This window comes from Homo sapiens, chromosome 13 (assembly GCF_000001405.40).
Source record: "Homo sapiens chromosome 13, GRCh38.p14 Primary Assembly".
Lineage (NCBI taxonomy): Eukaryota > Metazoa > Chordata > Mammalia > Primates > Hominidae > Homo > Homo sapiens.
Genome location: NC_000013.11, coordinates 30,419,333 through 30,441,333, shown reverse-complemented (window position 1 = coordinate 30,441,333; position 22,001 = coordinate 30,419,333). Strand labels below are relative to the sequence as shown.

Below are 22,001 nucleotides of genomic sequence, written 5' to 3'. Positions count from 1 at the left end.
GGGGCATCAGGTGCCACTTTAACTAGTTGAGCAGAGCAAACCTTTCTGCGATGTATCCATAGTTGGACAAAACAGAAGCAACCACTTGTCTCCAGACTCTAAAATATAAAACAGTAATCGGGCAATTATATGTGTATGGTTTATTTTCTCCACTGCAGAATAAGTTATTTGTTTATTAGGTATGTATTTATAAGGGGCAAAAAAATGACATCACTAGAACATGGGGAGCATACAAAAGTTATTTTAATTTCCTCTTTTTTTTTTTTTGAGACAGTCTTTCTCTGTCATCCAGACTGCAGTGCAGTGGTGTGATCTCGGCTCACTGCAAGCTCCGCCTCCCAGTTCAAGAGATCCTTGTGTCTCAGCCTCCAGCTGGGACTACAGGTGTGCGCCACCATGCCTGGCTAATTTTTTTGTATTTTTAGTAGAGATGGGGTTTCACCATGTTGGTTAGGCTGGTCTCGAACTCCTTACCTCAAGTGATTTGCCCACCTCGGCCTCCCAAAGTGCTGGGATTACAGGCGTGAGCCACCATGCCTGGCCTAATTTTCTCCTTTTATGAAAAAAGGAGTTTTGGCTAAAGATTGAGTTTTTTAAAACTTTAGCTAATGGTGGTCAAAAAGGTAGAAAGGGAACTAGTATTTAGTCAATGTCTATTATGTGCAAGTAAGCTCTTTCAGTGCATAATTTTCTTCCTTCCTTCCTTCCTTCCTTCCTTCCTTCCTTTCTTTCTTTCTTTCTTTCTTTCTTTCTTTCTTTCTTTCTTTCTTTCTTTCTTTTTCTTTCTTTCTTCCTTTCTTCCTTTCTTTGTAGAGACAAGGTCTTGCCATATTGCTCAGGCTGGTCTTGAACTCCTGGCCTCAAGTGATCTGATCCTCCCACCTTGGCCTCCCAAAGTGTTGGGATTAGAGACATGAGCGACTGTGCCTGGCCCATAATCTCCTTTAATCCTTACAACTCCTCAAATAGATTCAGTCCCAATTCATAGACAGGATAACTGAGGTTCAGGGAGGTAAAGTAATTTGCCCAAGGTTGCATGGTGTGAAGTCACAAAAGTGGGATTTGAGCTCAAGTTAGTCTGCCCTGGGCCCTATGATCTATCCATTATATCTCAGGGTGACCAACCATCCTGGTTTGCCTAGGACTGAGGGATTTCCCGGAAGGTGAGACTTTGTTTTTAAACCATGACAGTCCTGGAAAGCCAGGAGGACTTGATCCCTCTACTTGGTAACCAGAGGTCACTGCTTCCTTAGCAAGCTAGGGAGATTCCAGGCCCTAGGTCAGTGTCTGATGGGAAGGACACACAGGAGGTCTGGATCTCTCACTTATTTCAGGATTAATGTACCCAACCATGCTACATTCCCACTGGAGAAAGCAAGTTAATGGCACTTCCAGACAAATTACGCACTATATCCTTAGATCATGTAGGTCAAGGGTCAGCAAACCTTTCCTGTAAGGTTCATTTTCAGTCTGCAACTTAGGTCTTCAGTGTTGTGAGTTGTAGGGTCTCTATCACAACTGCTCAGCTCCACCATAGTAGTTGGAAGCAGCCATCGGCAATCCAAAAAGAGCGAGCCTGGCTGTACTCTAAGCAACTTACAGTTACCCAAACTGGAGGCGGGCTGGATTTGGCCCACAGATAGTTTGCCAAACCCTGATGTATGTTATTAATAAAGAATCCTTTGCATAGATAATGTATTTTTGAAGAAGAATTATTTCTGGAAGTTACTTTAATTGGGGTACGGCCAGTGGGCAGTTAGGAGCTCTCTTTTGAACTAACCTATTCATCAATTAGCCATTCCTACTATTTTCTTTTCTTTTTTTTTTGAGACAGGGTCTCACTTTATCACCCAAGCTGGAGTGCAGTGGCACCATTACCACCCACTGCAGGCTTGACCTCCCAGGCTCAAGCGATTCTCCTGTCTCAGCCTCCCAAGTAGCTGGGACTACAGGTGCCAGCCACCACACCTAGCTACTTTATATATTTTTTGTAGAGACAGGGTTTCACCATGTTGCCCAGCCTGGTCTCTAACTCCCAGACTCAAGCAATCCGCCCACCTTGGCCTTCCAAATTGCTGGTATTACAGGTGTGAGCCACCACACCCAGCCCTAATTCCTACTATTTTCTACATTTGGACTATGAAATTTGACTTTTCTAATTCTACTGCGAAATCACATAGTGAGTGTGTAAAAGTGATGGTGTGTGATCCTCTTCACAAATTTCTATTCCCTTCCTTATCTGTTGGGAGACATTAGACACATTCATTTGAAAAATTGTTCTTTTCAACCAGTTCTTTTATTTCCATACACCATTTAAAAAGTAATTCCCACTGCATCTACACAAAGTTAAAATATATTAATTTGCTTCAATATAGCATTTTCTTTATTGTGTGCCAGAAAAATATCACGGAAATTTTCCTGTACTGAAAAGCAAATACCGCTTTTCCACTTGGGCAGCCTCTCCCATCCAATCGTCATTCACATACACCTTCATCATTCACTGGGTTCTCACTGAGCACTCCCTCTTAGCCATGCAGGTGCTCACAGATGTACCCCAAAGAGGAGCGGCGTGCAAAGCAACATGTCTTCAAATTCAAAAGTGACAGTGGGTTTGAGGACAAGAGAGGGGAAGAAATCCAAATTTAGAGGAAGAGTAGCAAGTGGTAAGGCTTGGGCCCAGGAATGAGCCAAGCGCAGGCGGGGAGAATAAATAGATTAGCTCAGCAACAGAAGAGGAGCCCAGCCTTTGGAGACTACAAAGGGTCATAAGGAGGACACAATTATTAAAGTAATGCAGAAGCCACTGTAATTTCTCAAGCAGGAAACTGACAGTGACAAAAATGGTGCTTGGCCAGGTGCAGTGGCTCATATCTGTGATAAGTTAGCCAGGTGTGGTGGCTCACACCTGTAGTCGGGAGGCAGAGGTGGGAAGATTGCCTGAGACCAGGAGCTCAAGGCTGTAGTGAGCTGAGTTCATACCACTGTACTCTAGCCTGGGCAACAGAGCAAGACCCTGTCTCAAAAAAAAAAAAAAAAAAAAAAAAAAAAGCCAGGTGCTGTGGCTCATGTCTGTAGTCCCAGAACTTTGGGAGGCCAAGGCAGATTGATCGCTTGAGCCCACAAGTTCAAGACCATCCTGAGCAACATGCCAAAACCTCATCTCTACAAAACATAAAAAAAAAAAACATTAGCCAGGCGTGGTGGTGTGCCTATAGTCCCAGCTACTCAGGAGGCTTAGGTGGGAGAATCCTTTGAGCCTGAGGTGAAGGCTGCAGTGAACTGAGATCGTGCCACTGCACTCCAGCCTGGGCAACACAGTGACACCCTGTCTCAAACAATAAAAAATAAATGGTGCTTTAGGCAGCGTGTTCTGTGGTTTCCCGGCCATTGGAGGTAAAACACTCACTGGGGCTGGGTCACCATGGGGCAGGCAAAATGGACATTAAGGTCAGGGTCCAAGAAGATTCCACAGGAATCAAGAGGATGATGGTAGTGTCACCAATTCCAGAACAATTGAAAAGATGTGGTGCTCATTTGAGAAAATGGTTTGCATCTTTAGCCTGTGCACATGTGATTTTAGGCTAATTTTCACACGGCCGTCGAGAGACTTGAAAACCTCTAGGTATTTTCATGCTCCTAGAGTGAGGATGTTCTATGGGTGGGTAGAGGTGGGTTATCTGTGTGGGTTTTATGCACTCTTCTTTACAGAGAGGTGGTAGCTGAACCAGGTAAGGAGCTTTCTGTCCTTTCTGACATCTGTTTGCTTAATGATCTCTGCCTACACCCTGTAGAGTTTGAAAAGCAACGTACTAGAACCATGTTTCTTCTGACATACGCTGGCTGTACAATGCACACGCTTTCCGACAATATCCACATCAGACACCTCTCTGCTGATTCTAGGCTCCCAGACTGTGGCTTTTGATTTATCCTGTGAATTGCCTGAATTGCCAGCTCTGGCTAGGCTGGCTTCTGAGCACAGCTATCATCACTCAGGCTGCTGTTCTGTCGCGGCTCAGTCTGTTTTGTCCGTACCACACTGGTTGTCGAACTGTTGATTGGTAAGCTTGCACTTGACTTATGAGAACCAGCTCAAACTGCTTATGACCCTAAAAGAGATTCACTTAAAGAAGGTGCTATGACAATTAAGAATACATCAACACACACTTAGATTAAATATTTAGATAATGCATGCATTAAGCAAAGCACTGTTTTAGTTTGATGATAAAATCAGGATCAGCTAGTCACCTGATAACATTTCATAGCTGCTTAATTTATCAATGAAACTCACTGACTTCAATTTTCCAACCCTACACTTGTAAGAAAGACATTAATATTAAAGATTGTAGTGATACCCAGTAGAGGAGAAGACAGTAATAAATAATTAGCTCCTTTATGCTTCAGTTGCTTTCCTAAATTACTTATGAAACAGCAACAAATACTACTAGTGCCATTGGGAAAGCTGACATTATCCATTTCTTATTTAACAATGGAGTCATTAAAAAAGGAAAGAAAGAGGAAAAGGAGGCTGGGAGTGAGAAACTCATTGTATTTAATACAGATTCTGGTATCTTTTTTTTTTTTTGAGATGAAGTCTCATTCACTTACCCAGGCTGGAGTGCAGTGGTGCAATCTCCACTCACTGCAACCTCTGCTTCCCAGGTTCAAGCCATTCTCCGGCCTCAGCCTCCCAAGCAGCTGGGATTACAGGTGCCCACCACCATGCCTGGCTAATTTTTGTATTTTTTTAGAAGAGACGGGGTTTCAGCATGTTGGCCAGGCTGGTCTGGAACTCCTGACCTCAGGTGATTGGCCCACCTTGGCTTCCCAAAGTGCTGGTACTACAGGCGTGAGCCACCGTGCCCGGCCAGATTCTGGTATTTTGAGAGGCTGCATGTTTGGCTGAAGGATATCAAAAGCTACTAAGCAAGAGAATGGCATTTGTTGTTACCAAAGTAAACAATTTTTATTTCTGTTTTCCATATGCAGGCATATGAGTAAAGAAAACATGCCACATTGTATTTGTACATTTTGGGAAAACATGTAGCCTTATAATCATCATAATATGAAACACATCCCTTATGCGATTAAGTGTTTCATCACTGCTCTGGGAGTTCTGCATTAACAAAGGAGATGGAAATTAGTGGTTCTGAGATATTTCAGTTCCAGTATGAATTCTGATACGGTCCAGATTGAAAGAACCACACCTAAATTGTCTCAGTTATGTGAAAATTTATTTTATAACTGTTTCCAGAGCATGTGGTTCAAATATCACAACTTATCAAATATAAACCTCATTGCCAGGAAATTTTCCTTGAGGCAGACTGAGATTTTTTAAATTTTCTGATCTCTCTAGGGATGGCAATGTCTCCCGTCCTCCATAATCTCCAAGATTTTTTCTCTCTGTCCAAAAGAGGAAAGCTTTGGTGGAGACAAAATCCCTGTCCCCAGATAAACATGCTCAAATGAATACCTTTCCAGAAAGTTCAGATAAATTGAGAGTTCAGATCAAAAGTTCAGATAAATTGAGAGTATTTTTTAAGAATTGTCATTTCCTTACACTCTGTTAACAGTTGTGCCTGCTAGATAAAATGTTTACAATAAACTTTGCAAATCTCCATATTTTGAGAAATCATTTGTGGCATTAAGACTGGAAATAGAAGAAATAAATGAAAATAAGAAATCATTGATAATGTCTATGAAGTCCTCAACAGTGCTTGGCACACAGTATGTGCTCAACAAATATTATAGGTGTTAGCATCATCATATTATTTGGGAATATTTGTATTTAATGAAAAATGGTACATATATATATTTATAAATGTGAACACATATTTATGTACAGAATAGGTATATATAAACAGAAAAGAGTCTGTCTTTCCTAATTGCCAGAAGTAATCTTTGCTTGTGAATTAATTCATTGCTGTTTGCTATTATTTGTTCTTCTGTACAGAGAGTTGGAAAGGAGAGCATACTAGCAGAGGTGTGAAATGGCTCATTTATTTGCATTAATTATTAACTTTGAAGCCTCACCAAAATTGTTCTAATCTTAGCATTGAAGCAACTTTGGTCATTGATGAAATATCTAATCAATGAATTAAAGTCACAAAACATGCTAAGAATGCCACTGTTACCACGTAATAGTGGAATGTGCGAAGGGACTTCAGACATCATCCAGCATAATGCCTTCATTTCACAAGTGAGTAACCTGGGGCCCGAACAAGTAAGGGGACATGTCAGATGGGTCATTCCAAATCTGGACTTTTGCCTCCATATCCAGGCTCTGGCCAGCCACATTATCTGTAAGGCTTTTTACCCTTCTATAAAAACTAAGTCTGGCCAGGTACGGTGACTCACGTCTGTAATCTCGGCACTTTGGGAGGCCGAGGCAGGTGGATCACTTGAGGTCAGGAGATTGAGACCAGCCTGGCCAACATGGCGAAACCCCATCTCTACTAAAAATAGAAAAATTAGCCGGCATGGTGGCTCACGCCTGTAATCCCAGCTACTCAGGAGGCTGAGGCAAGAGAATCACTTGAACTTGGGAGGAGGAGGTTGCAGTGAGCCAAGATCGTGCCAGTGCACTCCAGCCTGGGTGACAGAGCGAGACTCAGTCTTGAAAAACAAACAAACAAACAACAACAACAACCAAAAAAAACCCAAAAAACACAACCAAGCCAAGTCTATCTGATCATGTGAGTCTGTGTGACTCCATTACAGTTGGATTGGCCTCTTGGGGGTGATGGCCTCAAATACTTCTCAAATACAGAGAAAACAAGTTGATTCTAAAATGATGGAAAAGAAGGGGCCCCCACAAGCATCTCTCCTTCACCTCACCTTTTCTGCTTTGCTGTTGTGGATATCCAAAAATATATGGGTGTTCAGGTATATTACCTCACTTTAGGATTAAAAAGTCCATTGTTTTACTTTTGTTTTCTGAGTTTTTTGTTGGTGGTGGTGGTGGTGGTGGTGTTGGTGGTGGTGGTGGTGGTTTTTGGTTTTGTTTTTTTCCAGAGACAAGGTCTTTCTCTTTTGCCTAGGCTGGAGTGCAGTGGTGCCATCATAGTTCAATGCAGCCTCAAATTCCTGGGCTCCAGTGATGCTCCTGCCTTAGCCTCCTGAGTAGCTGGGACTATAGGCATGCACCACTATGCCTCACTAACTTTTTTTTTAGTTTTTTTAGAGATGGGGTTTTGCTATCTTGTCCAGGCTGGTCTTGAACTCCTGGCCTCAAGTGGTCCTCCCACCTCAGCCTCCCAAAGTGCTGGGATTACAGGTGTAAGCCACTGCACCTGGCCACCAAGTATATTTTTAAATGAGGTTTATGAAATAGGTCACGGAATACTTTCTCATATCTAAACATAGACTTTTTAGTGATAATTGGTTATTGATGAGTTCAAGAAACCACTTGTCTCTGATTCTCATGTTCTAAATAGGTGGTCCAGTTGTGCAAATTAGCCTGAAACTACATATGCACAGCCTAAAATGGGGTAAGGGTTGGAGGCTCCTCAAAGGCAGGGTGTAGGTCCCCTTTACAGTTGTATCTCCAGACCCAAGTGCAGCTTTTGGTCATTGGACGTGTTCAATAAAGTTTGTTGGACAACTTAATGAAAGAGTAAACAAATTAAATTTCTGGTTCTCCAAGCTTTTCTTTTTTGTTTTTTTTTTTTTTTTTTTTTTTTTTTGAGACAGAGTCTTGCTCTGTCGCCCAGGCTGGAGTGCAGTGGCGCGATCTCGGTTCACTGCAACCTCTGCCTCCCCAGTTCAAGTAATTCTCCTGCCTCAGCCTCCTGAGTAGCTGGGACTACAGGTGCCTACCACCGAGTCCAGCTAATTATTGTATTTTTAGTAGAGACGGGGTTTCACCATCTTGGCCAGGCTGGTCTTGAACTACTGACCTCGTGATCCACCCGCCTCAGACTTCCAAAGTGCTGGGATTACAGGCATGAGCCACCGCACCTGGCCCCTCCAAGCTTTTCATGGTAATAGAAGAGTATCTTAATACAGAAACAGGCATTTGTGTTTTCTTTTTTCTTCTTTTTTTTTCTTTTTTGAGATAAGGTCTTGCTCTGTCATCCAGGCTGGGATATAGTGGCATAATCATAGTTTGCTGCAGTCTCAACCTCCCAGGCTCAAGTGATCTTCTCACTTCAGCCTCTCAAGCAGCTGGGATCACAGGCATGTGCCACCATAGTTGGCAAACTTTTTTTTGTATTTTTTGTAGAGATGAGGGTCTCACTATGTTGCCCAGGCTGGTCTTAAACTCCTATGCTTAAGTGATCCATCCACCTTGGCTTCTCAACGTGCTGGGATTACAGACATTTGTGTTTTATGAAGTTGTGTCTCTCAAACTTGATGGTCTAGTGGCTACTTTGGTGAGTCCGAAAAATCAACCAAACAAAAAAACAGAAAACAAAAAACCCTTTTAAATTTTTCTAACCTTTTCTAATAGTCACTGCATAGCATCTTCCCATGTGTAAAGGCATATCCTTTGAACTTTAGAGGGTGACGTGGGCATGAGTCTCTGTACCTCATGGATTCCTCAGAATTCTATGTGATTCTGAAATGTTGACCTATTTCTCTTGCTAGTGAGCAAGAGAAATACTGAGGCCAGTAAACTAGCTGTCTTAGCGCCTCACCTCTTCTGGACATATCGCTGGTAAAGCCCATTTCCAAGTGTCTTGCACTAGTGGAGATGTGTGTTGTATGGTGTCCTCATCAAGAAAAAACACATGTTTGCTTGCTGAAATTTTGGACAATTTCCTTCTAACAAAGGCCCTTGCCTGCCTGTCTTTAAAATCCCAGCCTGGGGTAGGCACGGTGGCTCACATCTGTAATCCTAGTGCTTTGGGAGGCTGAGGCGGGATGATCACTTGAGGCCGAAGTTCGAGACCAGCCTGGACAATATAGTGAGACCCTGTCTCTACAAAAAATGTTTAAAAGAAATTAGCCAGCATGGTGGCACATGCCTGTAGTCCCAGCTACTCTGGAGGCTGAGGCAGAAGGATCATTTGAACCCAGGAGCTCAAGGTTACAGTGAGCTATGATCATGCCACTGCACTGCACTCCAGCCTGGGCAACAGAGACCCTGCCTGTAAAATAAATAAATAAATAATAAAAAAAATTAGAATCCCAGCCTGACTTATGACTAAATTTGTTCACTAAGTGGTGAGAGATGCTAACATTAAGTGCTGGTATATATGCTGCATCAGAGATGGCCCTTCCAACAACCATGTGTTGTGAAACTATTTTATGCATGTGGTCCACTAGTAGGAAAAGGCATTCTAGTCAGTACTGTCAAGAGTTCAGGCAGAGGCATGACATATGTATATTTTAAAGAAGGAGCAACAGTTGGGAATGGACAAAAGACACAGCCAGGGCACCCTCAGAAGCCTGTAATTATACTAGTAACCAAACCTTCCCATAGGAGAGCTCATTTTCAGAGAGGTGAAACTGCATCTGAAGACATGTTTCTGAGACATGAATACTGAGATTGCTTTACCTAGGCATTGGCAATAAAACATCTTTATGTTGATCACATCTTTCCCAGAGACATCAGAAAAGAACATGACTCACCTCATTGGTCTAAAAAGGACACTCTGCTTCCCTTCTTAAAACCTTCCATGGTGTTGTTCCACTTTTGGTTTTGAATTATAGAAAGATGAATATTTTTGTCCCTGAGCCAGGAAGGCTGTGTGCCACGTGTCTTTTACACAGCAGCTACATTTCACAAAAAAGTGTTTTTTACCTGATTTTTCCTGTGGCATTTTAGAAATTTGCACTGGACTTTCTAACATTCATTTCTTCTGTCCCCAAGGCACCATCGTGAGTCAGTGGGAGGAAAAACATTAACTTCACTTAAGCCTGGAGAAAGGTTGAGTGGCATGTCCAGAATCACACAGTGACTCAGAATACCTGCCTGGGCAGTTTCTTCATCTGTTAGAAGGTTCACTTTTCAAACAGCAGGAGATATTTATTCATTTTGGAAGTCTCTTCTGTTGTGTTTCTAAATGGTCAACCTCTAGATTAAGGGAGGAAATCACCCAGTTTTCACTAGCTACCACAAGCCAACACAGTGAACATAAAAGCTTGTAGAAAGATTATTCCCTCAGGATAAATCAATAGTTGGTTATCATCATGCTTGAGAAGTGTTTTTGGAAGTGAGCTCAAGCTTTGGAAATTGATTTCATAGAGCAGGTCGGTGTCCTCATGACCACCTGCACCCCAACAGTGTCCCTGCAAGACAAACACCCTGGAGGAGCAAGACCAACATCATTGCCCACCTGACATTTAAAAATTTTCTCATATTTGGGTGAAAGCTGACTTTTCAAATATCTGGTTCACCACTTTTTCAGTCTTTTCTTAGATGCTTGCATTGTAGAAAAATGTTAGGTAGAGAATTAAGGCAATTTAACAATCACTTTCCACACTCCAGAAGTTTAGGATACCACCTTTAGGCCAGCTCATGTTTTTAATCAACTCATGATAACTATTGGTTCTAAATGAAAAGTTTCCCTTTTTATTGTTTAGCTGTGGTTGAAATTTGCATTTTCTCTGAATCAATAAAATAATCTTAGAAGTTGGTTGGCATCCTCTCAGATTTTCCTGCTCCTGTTGGGGCACAAAAATTCTCTTTGGTTCTACTTTACCCTTTGCATGTTAAGCAATCCTAGTTCCCTTACCTCTCCTGATCCTTTCCCCTCTCCTTCCAGCTGATGGCTCCTCTCTCATCCTGCTGGGAGGTTCCTGACTACGTTCTCTGGGGTAGTTCAGAAATCTACCCTCACCAGCAGCCCTCACTCTCCAAAACAAAAACCAGACAACTCTTGGTTTGGTACTTTATTATGCTAAAAATAAAATAAAGAAAAAAAGAAGCACAAAATGACTCATACACATTCCCTCAGACTAACAGGGGGAGTGACTCACCTTCCCTCCTCAGCATGTATCACTCACGTCTTATGGGTTAGGACATGGAATCATGTGTAGGTTTCTCTGCCACTTTCTAGAGCCAGTTAAATTCTAAGATCCTCAAAAGTTTAGTAGTCATAAACTGATTATTAAATGCTTAGGCATCAAATATGGTAATGAAACGAAAATAGGTCTTCCATGAAGACACTGGCTACAACAATGACCAGAGAAGAAAATCCCTGGAATCTTAACATGGTGATTTCTCGTTGCTCACCAAGATGTGTGGGTTTCCCTTCACTGATGATACTCAGGCGAGCTACTCCTACTGCCCATGACAAAGAGAACTCAAGAAGGCAAACTTTCTTTACAAGTTAAAGGTAAAATAAGCTAGATTTATCTTTTTGACAAGTTTAAAATATATACTTAGAATATAATTTATAAAATGCTTAATCTGCTGACTCCAGAGCCTGCAGTGCAGGGTGGGGTGGGGGTGGGCAGCTGCCCACTACACCAGCAGAGCAAGAGTGCAGAGGTGCGGCTCTGCCTCCCACCCCCTTCTGTTCAGACACCCAAGGGGCCCCATGCACCCCTGAAATCACACAACTAGTTTCTACAGATTTTAGATACAAGAAATTATAGACACTGGCTTCAGTTATTCAAAAGCAAGAGCTTGGGCTTTTTGATCCTTTAATTAAAGTTCTTGTTCCAAAAAACATGTGCAAACACAACCTTTAACAGCTCAATTTCTAAAAATTATTTCATAAAAGGAGGAGAGTGAACAATCCTCTATGTATATGTTCTACAGGACAAATCTTATCACCAATTACTAAAGCAGGGAAGTGCAGCTTGTCAAAAAGTCCTTACTGGAGAGGCGGTGGGGGATGGGGGATGGAGAATATGAAAATGTCATTAAGGATGAGAGCCTAGACACTATAAAAGATGCAGCACCTCAGAGCAGCCCAGCCAAAATGAGAGGTGGCAAAGCTACTCTTTTGTCTGTGAAATTTGCATGCGTTTCATTTCCTTTACCAATGCCACCTGAGTCCAAGCCACCTCACCTTCTGTTGTCTCCATTTCAGCCTAAAGACACCCCAATTATGGTGTGAATTCCAGGTATTTCAATCAATTTTTTTTTGTGGGGGGGGGACAGAGTTTTGCTCTTGTTGCCCAGGCTGGAGTGCAATGGCGCAATCTGGGCTCACTGCAGCCTCTGCCTCCAGGGTCCAAACGATTATCCTGCCTCAGCCTCCTGAGTAGCTGGGATTACAGGAGTCTGCCACCACGCCCGGCTACTTTTATTTGTTTATTTATTTTATTTTTAATAGAGATGGGGTTTCACCACGTTGGCCAGGCTGGTCTCGAACTCCTGACCTCAGGTGATCCACCCACCTCAGCTTCCCAAAGTGATAGCATTACAGGTGTGAGCCACCAAACCCGGCTCGCAGGTATTTCAATCTAAATGTCAGTTCAACGGGAAACATCAATTAAAACAAAAATGGATTTCCTACGACTCATCGAATTCCTGTGGCCACTCTCATCCCATCTCCTATCTACATCCACCAAAAAAAAAAAAAAAAAAGCAAGGAATATAGCATACAATCTCTTTTCTTTTATGTTCTCTAAGTAAACCCTGGGTTCTGGTAGGACACTGTGTCAACATCCTGATGTCTGAACTCTTATCCCGTTAGGGTAGCCAGATTTTATGTTTTTAAAACAACAACTAGTCCAGTGTATAGTTCCGTCTATTAATGGCCACTTTTTTTTTTTTTAAGAACATCTTAAATTTTTAATCCTTTCTTTACAGGTTACCTAGACCACTTTTAATTAAGAAAACTGTAGAAAGTTAGTAACTGCTGCAAGCGAACGCCAGACGGTGGCACGTATCAATTTCCACAGAGTCCTGCTTTGCGGGGTGTCTGAATGTACTGCACGGGGTCTCTGCTCACACTTGCTGGAACCAATCGTGGCACATTTTAGTCCACAGGTCGCTTTTCCCCATATTTCTTTGTAAACTCTTCAGCATTCTTACAGAATTTTTTACGGTCGTTAGAGTATTCTTCAGCTAGGTCAGCCCGAAGCGGGTGCTCGGGCTGCGGGTCATTCACCAGTGCTATGAGGGACTGGATTACTTGGTCGGTTTTGGTTGCTGGCTTCCAGTTTTCAGCACTAATTACTGGCAGACAGACCTGCCCCTTTTCGTCGATGTTCGGGTGATAGATCTTTGTTTTAAATGTGATCCTCGGTGGTTTGAATGGGTACTCTGCTGGAAAGTTGATTTCGATTCTGAAGGCCCCCTTATTATACGGAGGGTTGTCAGGAACAATAAGCCCTTGCCAAGTCAATAAATTAGCTTCATCAACCTGGATGTTACGGAAGTTTTCCATTCCACATTTGCGGATTTCTTCAAGCTCCTTCATCAGCCTCCTGCTGGCCGCCATCTTGGATTTGGTGCTGCTTCTTTCCCAGAATGCATCGTGGTAACGGCCACTTTTAATGGTTGTGTATGTATACACTCAAATAACGTTCTGATGTGGCAGTTTGAACTTACGCTGAGCAAAGCAACTTGCCCACTGGTTGGTTAGAGTGATCATCCACAATCCTATACATTATAATTTTTTTTTTTTTTAGCCAGAGTCTCTCTCTGTTGCCCAGGCTGGAGTGCAGTGGCACCATCTCTGCTCATTGCAACCTCAGCCTCCCGGGTTCAAGCCATCCTCTCGCCTCGGCCTCCCAAGTGGCTGTGATTACAGGCACGTGCCACCATGCACAGCTAACTTTTTTTTGTATTTTTAGTAGAGACGAGGTTTCACCATGTTGGCCTGGCTAGTCTCGAACTCCTGACCTCAAGTGATCCGCCCGCGTTAGTCTCCCAAAGTGCTCAGATTATAGACGTGAGCCACTGCACCCGGCTTTACACATTATAATTCTACCTGCATATTCACCTGTTGCCTGACTGAAGGCTGGTATGTCCAGATCAGATTGCTCATCTTGCATTTCACAGCACAAAGTGAGATCCTTGGTGTTTGAATATTTTTTTCTGAGAAATTTCTATTAATCCAGTTCATGTTCTTAACAGGAAGTAATTCAGACATGGGAAATGATAAAATGTATCAACTGAGAGCCAAAGAAGATAATGAATAGAGGTGAAATATACAAATACACTCATGCAAAGGGATAGAAATAATATATTTTGGGGCATTTTCACAAAAACTTATCACTTTAGAGTACAAATGTAAATTATACTTGCTTACCTGAATTTTCAGATATAACTCACTTTGTAGAATATTTAATATATTGAAACCTGTCATTTTAATTATATAATTGGACTTGAATTTCTGTAGAACAAGTATACCCAGAACGACATGAAAAGCTCAGTAAGAAGGCAGCAAAACTTATTTTAAAATCACATATTTAAAGGTAAGATTATCTTTTACAATAAATTATTAATGGCACTACTCAAAATAAGTTATGGAATATGAATGCAAAGTAGTCAGAGTTATTTTTGTATTTGGCATAAGAGCTAAGGAGCTTAAAAAGAAAAGCAGTATTAGAACAACAAAAAAATGGGACAGCAGTCACTTGGCTTCAATAAGACTTCTCTGCAATATTATGTAAGAAAAGAATATACAGGTTGCATTTTTAAAAGTTACCTTGTTGTGGAAGCTTCTGAATTTTGGAAAGGAATGGTTGATTTTGATCAAAGCCTGGAAGAAACACAGACATTTTGAATCAAAATGTAACAGTATACACAGAGAGCTCTCTAGCTATAGATAATAAAATCACCACCTGAGCATAGGCTGTGTAGACCAGGACTAGGAAAGAAGTCCATCTGGCAGGAAAATAAGGTAGGATTCAGAGAGCAAATAAGATTGCAGCAGATGTCAGGGTACAAAATACAATTGAACAAGTACGATTCAAAATAGTATGTTTATATGACCTGTCTTCCCCAACTAAAACCTCCATGTGGGCAGGGATTGTAATTTTGTCCGTTGCTGTATCCCCAGCTTCTGGGCCACTGTCTGACTTATAGGAGGTGCTCCATACATTCCCCCTCCTGACCCCTCACTTTTGTGTAAGCCCCGACTCGCATCCATACTTTTTCTTTTTTGTTTTTTTTGAGGAGGAGTTTCACTCTTGTCTCCCAAGCTAGAGTTCAGTGGTGTGATCTCAGCTCACTGCAACCTCCGCCTCCCAGTTTCAAGCGATTCTCCTGCCTTAGCCTCCCGAGTAATTGGGATTACAGGCACCCACCACCACGCCTGGCTAATTTTTGTATTTTTAGTAGAGATGGGGTTTCGCCGTGTTGGCCAGGCTGGTCTCAAACTCCTGACCTCAGTTGATCCACCTGCCTTGGCCTCCCAAAGTGCTGGGATTACAAGCGTGAGCCACTGTGCCTGGCCTTTTTTCTTTTTTTGAGATGGAGTTTCATTCTTATCACCCAGGCTGGAGTGCAATGGCCCAATCTTGGCTCACTGCAACATCCGCCTCCCAGGTTCAAGCGATTCTCCTGCCTCGGCCTCCCGAGTAGCTGGGATTACAGGCACGCCCGGCAAATTTTTGTTATTTTTAGCAGTGACGGGGTTTCACCATGTTGGCCAGGCTGGTCTTAAAATCCTGACCTCAGGTGATCTGCCTGCCTTGGACTCCCAAAGTGCTGGGATTACAGGCGTGAAACACCACGCCCGGCCTATAAATATTTGATGAGTGAATAAACATAAGCTGAAGTTTCGGAAGACAGATTTGTCCAAGGAAATTAAGTCCCACAAGTATGTGATGAACACCTAAACGGTACTATGGTAAGTGTCTGCATGTAATGCAAAAGTAACTATTATCCAAGACTCAGTAATATGGCATGAGAATGCATGGCGCTGGGTGGGGAGGAGCGACTGTCTTTGGGAAGAAGGCATTAGAGATGGTATTGAATGGTGAGTGGTAGGAAAGGCAGGAACTGGAGCCCAATGCCAGGCCCTGGGCTTTGTATTCCATTCCCAATCTCCCTGCGAACAGGAACCACTTCACCTACCTTTGAATGCCAAGTGCCTGCCTCACTGTGTTTCTAGTAGGTGCTCAATAAATGCCCATGAAGTGATAAGTAGACAATTGGGACCCAGGCAGTGCATCCAATGGAGCTGCAGGATCAGCATGCTGGCCAGGACCAGCCAGGGAATCAACCAGGGCCTATTTCTTTGTTCTCTGTCTCATCTACTTGAACAACTGTGGCCAATCCAGGATGGGCACTGTCAGAGTGTGGTCTAGAACTCCTCCCTGAGGATTAAATGTTAAAATGTTAACCCTCAGGCCCCATTGGGACCTCTTGAATCAAAATCCTGAGGGAGAGAACAGAAACTGGAATGTAACGCAGGTATCCAAGAACTGGGCACTGTGGCTCATGCCTGTAATCCTAGCACTTTGGGAGGCTGAGGTAGGGGGATTGCTTGAGGCCAGGAGTTCAAGACCAGCCTGGGCAACACAGACCTGGTGTCTACAAATAAAACATTAAAAATTAGGTGGGCATGGTAGTACACACCTGTAATCCTAGCTGCTCAGGAGGCTGGACCGGGAAGATCACTGAGCCCAGGAGGTCGAGGCTGCAGTGAGCTATGATTGACTGCACTCAGAAACTGAAATCCCAAGAGCAAGAGAAACAACTATTTTGGGTGGTCACTGTGGGCCAGGTACTGTTCAAGATGCTTTCACATATAGTAATTTTATTTATTTAGTTTTAAATTTGCTGTAAACTCTGAGCAGACATATATATAGTAATTTAATATGCAATAATCCACAGAGGTAGTTTGGTTATAACTATCTGTGTTTGAGGAAACAAGCTCAGGGATAGTATATAACTTGCTTTACACTGAATGGCAAGTAACTATTGGGGATCCAAATTCCTGAGCTTAATTTCAGAGACCACACACTCTCCTACATCTCACGGCACCTTAGGGGAACGCAGAATCCAGGAAACTAGGACATCATGTTGTGCCTGCCTTCAGGAAATGTACAGTCAGCCTCTGGTTGGTTGAATCTGCCTAAAGGAATCTCCAGAAATTGAGATTTGAGGTTTTAACATTACATAATTCTAGATCCTAGAGTGTCAAAGTCATCTGTGACTTTAATAATCCTAATACGTTGACCAAGCACTGGGTGCAGTGGTTTGTCTGAACCAGGACTAATTTTTAGAAAATTCACATGTGCAGAGTGGACAAGTCCCTTAACAGAGTGAAGGCAGAGGTGGGGGAAGACAGCTGGAGAGGTACAGACTGTCACCCTCACACCTAACACTGCTGTTGGCTCCAGCCAACAGTCCCACCCAGGGTGGCCCGGGCTTCTCATGTTTCAGAGAAGCCCAAAGTCCAGCTTTCCATGTGAAACTTAACAATTTCAAAATATCCATAACTAATTCAAAAGTTTAAACTACACCCCGCAGGCCAAACAGGTCTGGAAGACAAGTTCAGGCCCATGGAGCTCCAGCATGCACCCTCTGGTTGGGAACATACAAATCCCAGGGCGTTAAGCTACATAAAGTAACTGGGACATGGTTTAGTGAAAACGGTTTCCATCAGAACCTGTCTGTGCATCTGCTGGCATGAAGGTATATCCCTACCACTATTTCTGGTTTAATTTAGGAAAACATGCATTGCATCGTCTTTCAATTTTATGCAAGTGTATCAGATGTGGCCTGAAGGCCAAATTTTTGTGAACTGGAATTGCATCTTTCTATTACCCTACCTTCCCACCGTAAGGATGCCTCATTCTGGTTTTTGAGTGATCTTTAATGAGCACTGGCCAATTTTAAATATATGATTCCCCGGCCTTTCAGTTTATTTTATTTTTTTGAGACAAGGTCTGGCTGTAGTGCAGTGGTGCTATCTTGGCTCACTACAACCTTCACTTCCCAGGCTCATGCCATCCTCCTGTCTCAGCCTCCCTAATAGCTGGAACTACAGGTGTGCACCACCACACCCAGCTAATACTGTATTTTTTTAGAGATGGAGTTTCACTATGTTGCCCAGGCTGCTCTTGAACTCCTGGACTCAAATGATCCTCCTGCCTCAGCCTCCCAAAGTGCTGGGATTACAGGCGTTGAGCCACCACACCCGGCCCTAGTTTATTTTAAAGGAAAATAGAGTAAACTCTCCGGGGGAAGAACCTCCAGTTTAATAACACTCCATATTGTATCTGCTTTATTGTAATTGTATTTGGAGATTTTCCAGATGGAACTTCTCTGTATAGAAGCCTTAAACCTGCTGTGTTTCAGAGCAGAAGTTATCCATGTCTGTCTGTCTCTGACACACATGCACAAAAACTAGATATGTGATTTACTATACATGACATGATAAACAACATTCTAAAGCAGTAAGTTTAGAACAACAAACTGAGTTTTGTCATTGCTATTATTTAATGATTTTATCATGTTACTTTATGTAGAATGGCTATGGAATAATTAATTAGGTTTTGTTGTGGTTTTTAATATCTCCACAGTCTAAATAATAAACCATTTTCCCGATATTGGCACCGCTTTAGAAGAGATTTTCTTATCTATTTTTTGACAGAGTTAAAAAGGTGCCTCTCCCTCTGTGTCCTAATTTTTGCAACGTGTGTGCATTTATTACGTGTCACCAAGCGAGGCAATGCTAACCTAGCAAAGCAGAAATCATCACCAGAGCAAATTAATGCAATGTCACCCGCTGACCGATGTTAAACGCAGCAGAGACTCACAAGCATCCTTGTGAATGGATTAAAAAGGCACTTACAGGGATGACCCGCAAAGATCCTAGTTTCAAGACACAACAAAAAGCCTCCAGGAAGTGAAGCCAGCAGGTTCTAATCTCATTTATTTTCACGGCTATGTTTTTTTAATTGTAGTTTTCCACTGTAAAACCAAAGAGCATCAAAGGAGAACAGCTTTCCCTCTCCCGGAAGCCTCACGGAGCGGAGTTCCCTGAGCTGCGCGGCCGCCGGTCACGGGGAAGTGCCCCGCGCGCGGAGCTCCCCAAGCGCCCAGCCCTGCCTGCGCCGCAGCCGCCACCACCGCTGCCACCACCGCCGCCGCGGCCAGGGAGCTGCGCTGGGCGGGGCTGGGCTGGGCTGGGCTGGGCTGGGCTGGGCTGGGAGGGGCGGGGCGGGGCGGGGCGGGGCGGGCGTCCGTAGTTATTTATTTATTTAGCGGCTGCAGAAAAGCTCTGCGGCGCTCGCGAAACCCGAAGACTTGCAGGTAGCCAGGCGCTCCCACTCGTCCAACAGCTCCCGGGCTGGCTTGGGAGAAACTAAGGAACTTGCTTCGCCCCCCCGCCGCTCCCTGGGGCCGCTCGCCACCCGCGGAACTTGCCATCCCCGCTCTTCCCCACTTTCTACCCCCACCTCCGCCCGCCCCACCTTCCCCTTTCCCCGCTTTCCCCTCTCCCACCTCCTCCTTCTCTCCCCTCCCACATCCCCGGTCTCCCACTTCCCCCTCCTTCCCGACCCACCTCTCCCTCCTCCCCGCCCCACCTCTCCCTCCTCCCCGCCCCACCTCTCCCTCCTCCCCTTCCTCCTCCTCCCCCCCGCTCCTCTCCTTACCACCTCCTCCGCCCTCCCCCACCTCCTCCCCGGTCCCTTCTCCACCCCCTCTTTCCCCACTCCGCTCCCCGGGCGGCGGGCGGCTCCCTGGCTCCGGCGTGTACAGATTTGGGCAGAATGTGGTTCCAAGGCTCTCGGTCAAGAATTCGGAGGAGGAAAGTTTGCTGGCGGCGCCGCGGCTCACACCACTCCCCGCCCTGGGGGCGGTCCTCGAGGCCGGGCCCCGCCGCCCGTGCTTCCCTTCCCGGAGCCTTCGCTCTTCCCCGGGAAGGCCCGGCCTTACATAAGGGCCCGTGCGCCCGCCCCAGCCCTGTGGGCAGCGCGCTCTTGCTCTGCTCAGTTTAACGAAGATTCTGCTCCTGAAACTTAGTACAGATAAAAAGGGCAGCGGTCCGTTTCATTTTAGACAGGAAAATGAGGGCGCAAAAGGGGACTGAGGGAGAGAGGCCAGAGAACAAGACAGCAGGTTCGTGCTGGTGGCAGGTGGATGGGTAGAAGGTTCCTTGAGAGCGGAATTTCCTATTTGGATGCCTGTGCAGAGGGAAGTGGCTGTAAAGATCAAGTAGCTTTGATAACGCCAAGGTAGCCTGGACAACAGAAGCCCAGGGAAGGAAAGGGGGCGGGACTTATGCTGCCAGAAAGGATGATCACTATCCGGATCTTCAGTAGGACCCGCGCCTCAGCGAGGGCGCGTGTAGAGGAGATGTGGGTATGGGCCATGTGCAGGGAGCATAATGCCTGCGTCTCCAGCGCAGGCCTGGCATACAACAGGCACACCATAAACAGCTAACACGTGGGCACTGTGCTAAAACTTTGCCAACTTGGTTGCATTTAATCCTTAGAACAATTGAGCCCTCCTTACTCCCATTTTACACACGGGAGACTGAGACCTGGATGGGCTAAGTGACTTGGCCATGACCACACAGCTCTTTGCAGCCGACCGAGGACTCAAACCTTGGACTCCAAAACTCATGCTATGGGACAACTTCGTATTTGGGAGGCGTAATACAAAAGGGTTCAGCTTTGGGGCAGAGTGAAGGGGCACCGCGTTTCGAAGATGGGCAGGTAGGCTTGCAGCAGGTGGATATGTATGTTCCCACAGTTCTCTCACACTCACATTTCACCATGGACACAGCAGAGCTTTACCCCTCAGGACGTTACTGAGGCGGTTCATTAGCCCGAGTTTCTGAATTCCTCTACTTCCTCCACAGTGGGTACTTGAGGAGCTGTTGTCTCTGGTTAACCCAAGTCTCCTTGTGGCTCTTTAGGGAAATTCCCTGTGCCCAAGACTGGTATCCATGTGCAGAGTTACTGGACTATCCAACGGGATTAAAAACAATTCCCCAAATTCCCATTCTTCTGGGAATTCGTGGGATTCCTGGCCCACACAATATTTTATAAGGGGCCTAACCTGGAGCCTAAGGATGTGGGTGTGCAGGAGTAATGATGATGGGACATTCTTAGTCTAGCGTGAATGTGTGTCCCTTTGCTGCTTCTCCCCAGCAACTATGAAACACCTGATACTGTTAGGCCCCTCCGATAGTTTCTTTTTAAACGGTTTTGAGATCCCACTAAGGATGTTTTTTTTTGCTTCAGTTGCTATTTTTACTACCGCTTAACATCCACACACTCATACGAACCCAGAAGACACCCTAATCCCCCCCAAAAGTGAGAGAAAGATTTGACATCCCAGCCTGCTAAGGAAGTCAGTGGGAAGCCTGGTTTTCAAATCAAATGTCTACACATGTTCCAATAGAGTACAGAGAAAATCGGTGTTTAAGAGCCCATGTGGTGGGATAATACCTTAGGGTGCTATCTGATAGTTCATTTATTTCTAAACCTAGTGTAGCTGCCATATTGATAATTAAATATCCCATAGGAGCTCTAGGAGGGTCTCCTCGTGTTATCCCTTCTCCTTTTTTTTTAGGGTAAGAACTGAAGCCACCAAAAGGCTTACTATACCACACAACACCCAAGCCTTCCTTTGGGGCATGGGGACAGTGGATCTATGGCTCCTCAGGGTGCCAACCAATTGAAGAAGGAAGCCAGCTCCACTCAACAGCTTCTACAAAGGAAGGGCCACAGGAGAGGGGCTTCAGTGGTTCCAGGCAGCTGCTTCATTCACAACAGAATGGCCATTTTCTCCAGCATGGCCAACTATCCCTAGTCTTTTTGTCATGACAGCCTAGAAGGCAGAAGCTAGGGCCAAGGCGGCTGCTAAGGAATTCCTACTCCTACTGGGGCCTAATGTCAGGCTTTCCTTATATTGTGGAGTGGGCCCTGGAAGATAGTTAGAGACCCTTCCTGCTGGGCACCCTGAAGAGGAGCAAGAGGATCTGGTGAGCAAAATGAAGCAAAAGTGCAGTGCTGGAGCTGACAGCCCTGTTCCCTACTGCACGCAGTTGGCTCAGGGCTGTCCCCCACTTTGGAGCTTCTTGCCACTCACGGGCTACCCTGCACACACTACTTACTGCCCAGGCCTGTCTGCCACCACAGTACCCTGTGCCTGAGACCTTTCCTGGCCTCTGCTGGATCCCAGG

The 22,001-nt window shown here is 44.5% G+C and overlaps 1 protein-coding gene and 1 long non-coding RNA gene across 2 annotated transcripts, besides 2 other annotated features; one reads left to right on the top strand and one right to left on the bottom strand.

Moving 5' to 3' along the window:
* Positions 1 to 11,575: 11,575 nt before the first annotated feature.
* Positions 11,576 to 18,841, bottom strand: UBE2L5 (ubiquitin conjugating enzyme E2 L5). Its single transcript, NM_001355247.2, has 4 exons — positions 18,657 to 18,841; positions 16,433 to 16,526; positions 14,556 to 14,609; positions 11,576 to 13,973 (listed from the first exon to the last, which is right to left on the bottom strand). The coding sequence occupies exon 4, from the start codon at positions 13,341 to 13,343 to the stop codon at positions 12,879 to 12,881; it is 465 nt and encodes a 154-aa protein (NP_001342176.1). The 5' UTR covers positions 13,344 to 13,973; positions 14,556 to 14,609; positions 16,433 to 16,526; positions 18,657 to 18,841; the 3' UTR covers positions 11,576 to 12,878.
* Positions 18,879 to 19,168: a silencer, noted in NCBI's record as "silent region_5232". NCBI's record gives its function as "represses an Ori minimal core promoter by ATAC-STARR-seq in GM12878 lymphoblastoid cells {active_cell/tissue: GM12878}" and the evidence as "EXISTENCE:reporter gene assay evidence [ECO:0000049][PMID:35858748]".
* On the top strand, positions 19,090 to 21,895 carry LINC01058 (long intergenic non-protein coding RNA 1058). Its single transcript, NR_125771.1, has 2 exons — positions 19,090 to 19,117; positions 21,389 to 21,895. It is a non-coding gene; the product is annotated as a long intergenic non-protein coding RNA 1058 (long non-coding RNA).
* Positions 19,609 to 19,788: a silencer, noted in NCBI's record as "silent region_5231". NCBI's record gives its function as "represses an Ori minimal core promoter by ATAC-STARR-seq in GM12878 lymphoblastoid cells {active_cell/tissue: GM12878}" and the evidence as "EXISTENCE:reporter gene assay evidence [ECO:0000049][PMID:35858748]".
* Positions 21,896 to 22,001: the final 106 nt, after the last annotated feature.

Bases quoted from the DNA above. Each gene is read 5' to 3' on its own strand.
- UBE2L5 (NM_001355247.2), bottom strand. From the start codon at position 13,343: ATGGCGGCCAGCAGGAGGCTGATGAAGGAGCTTGAAGAAATCCGCAAA.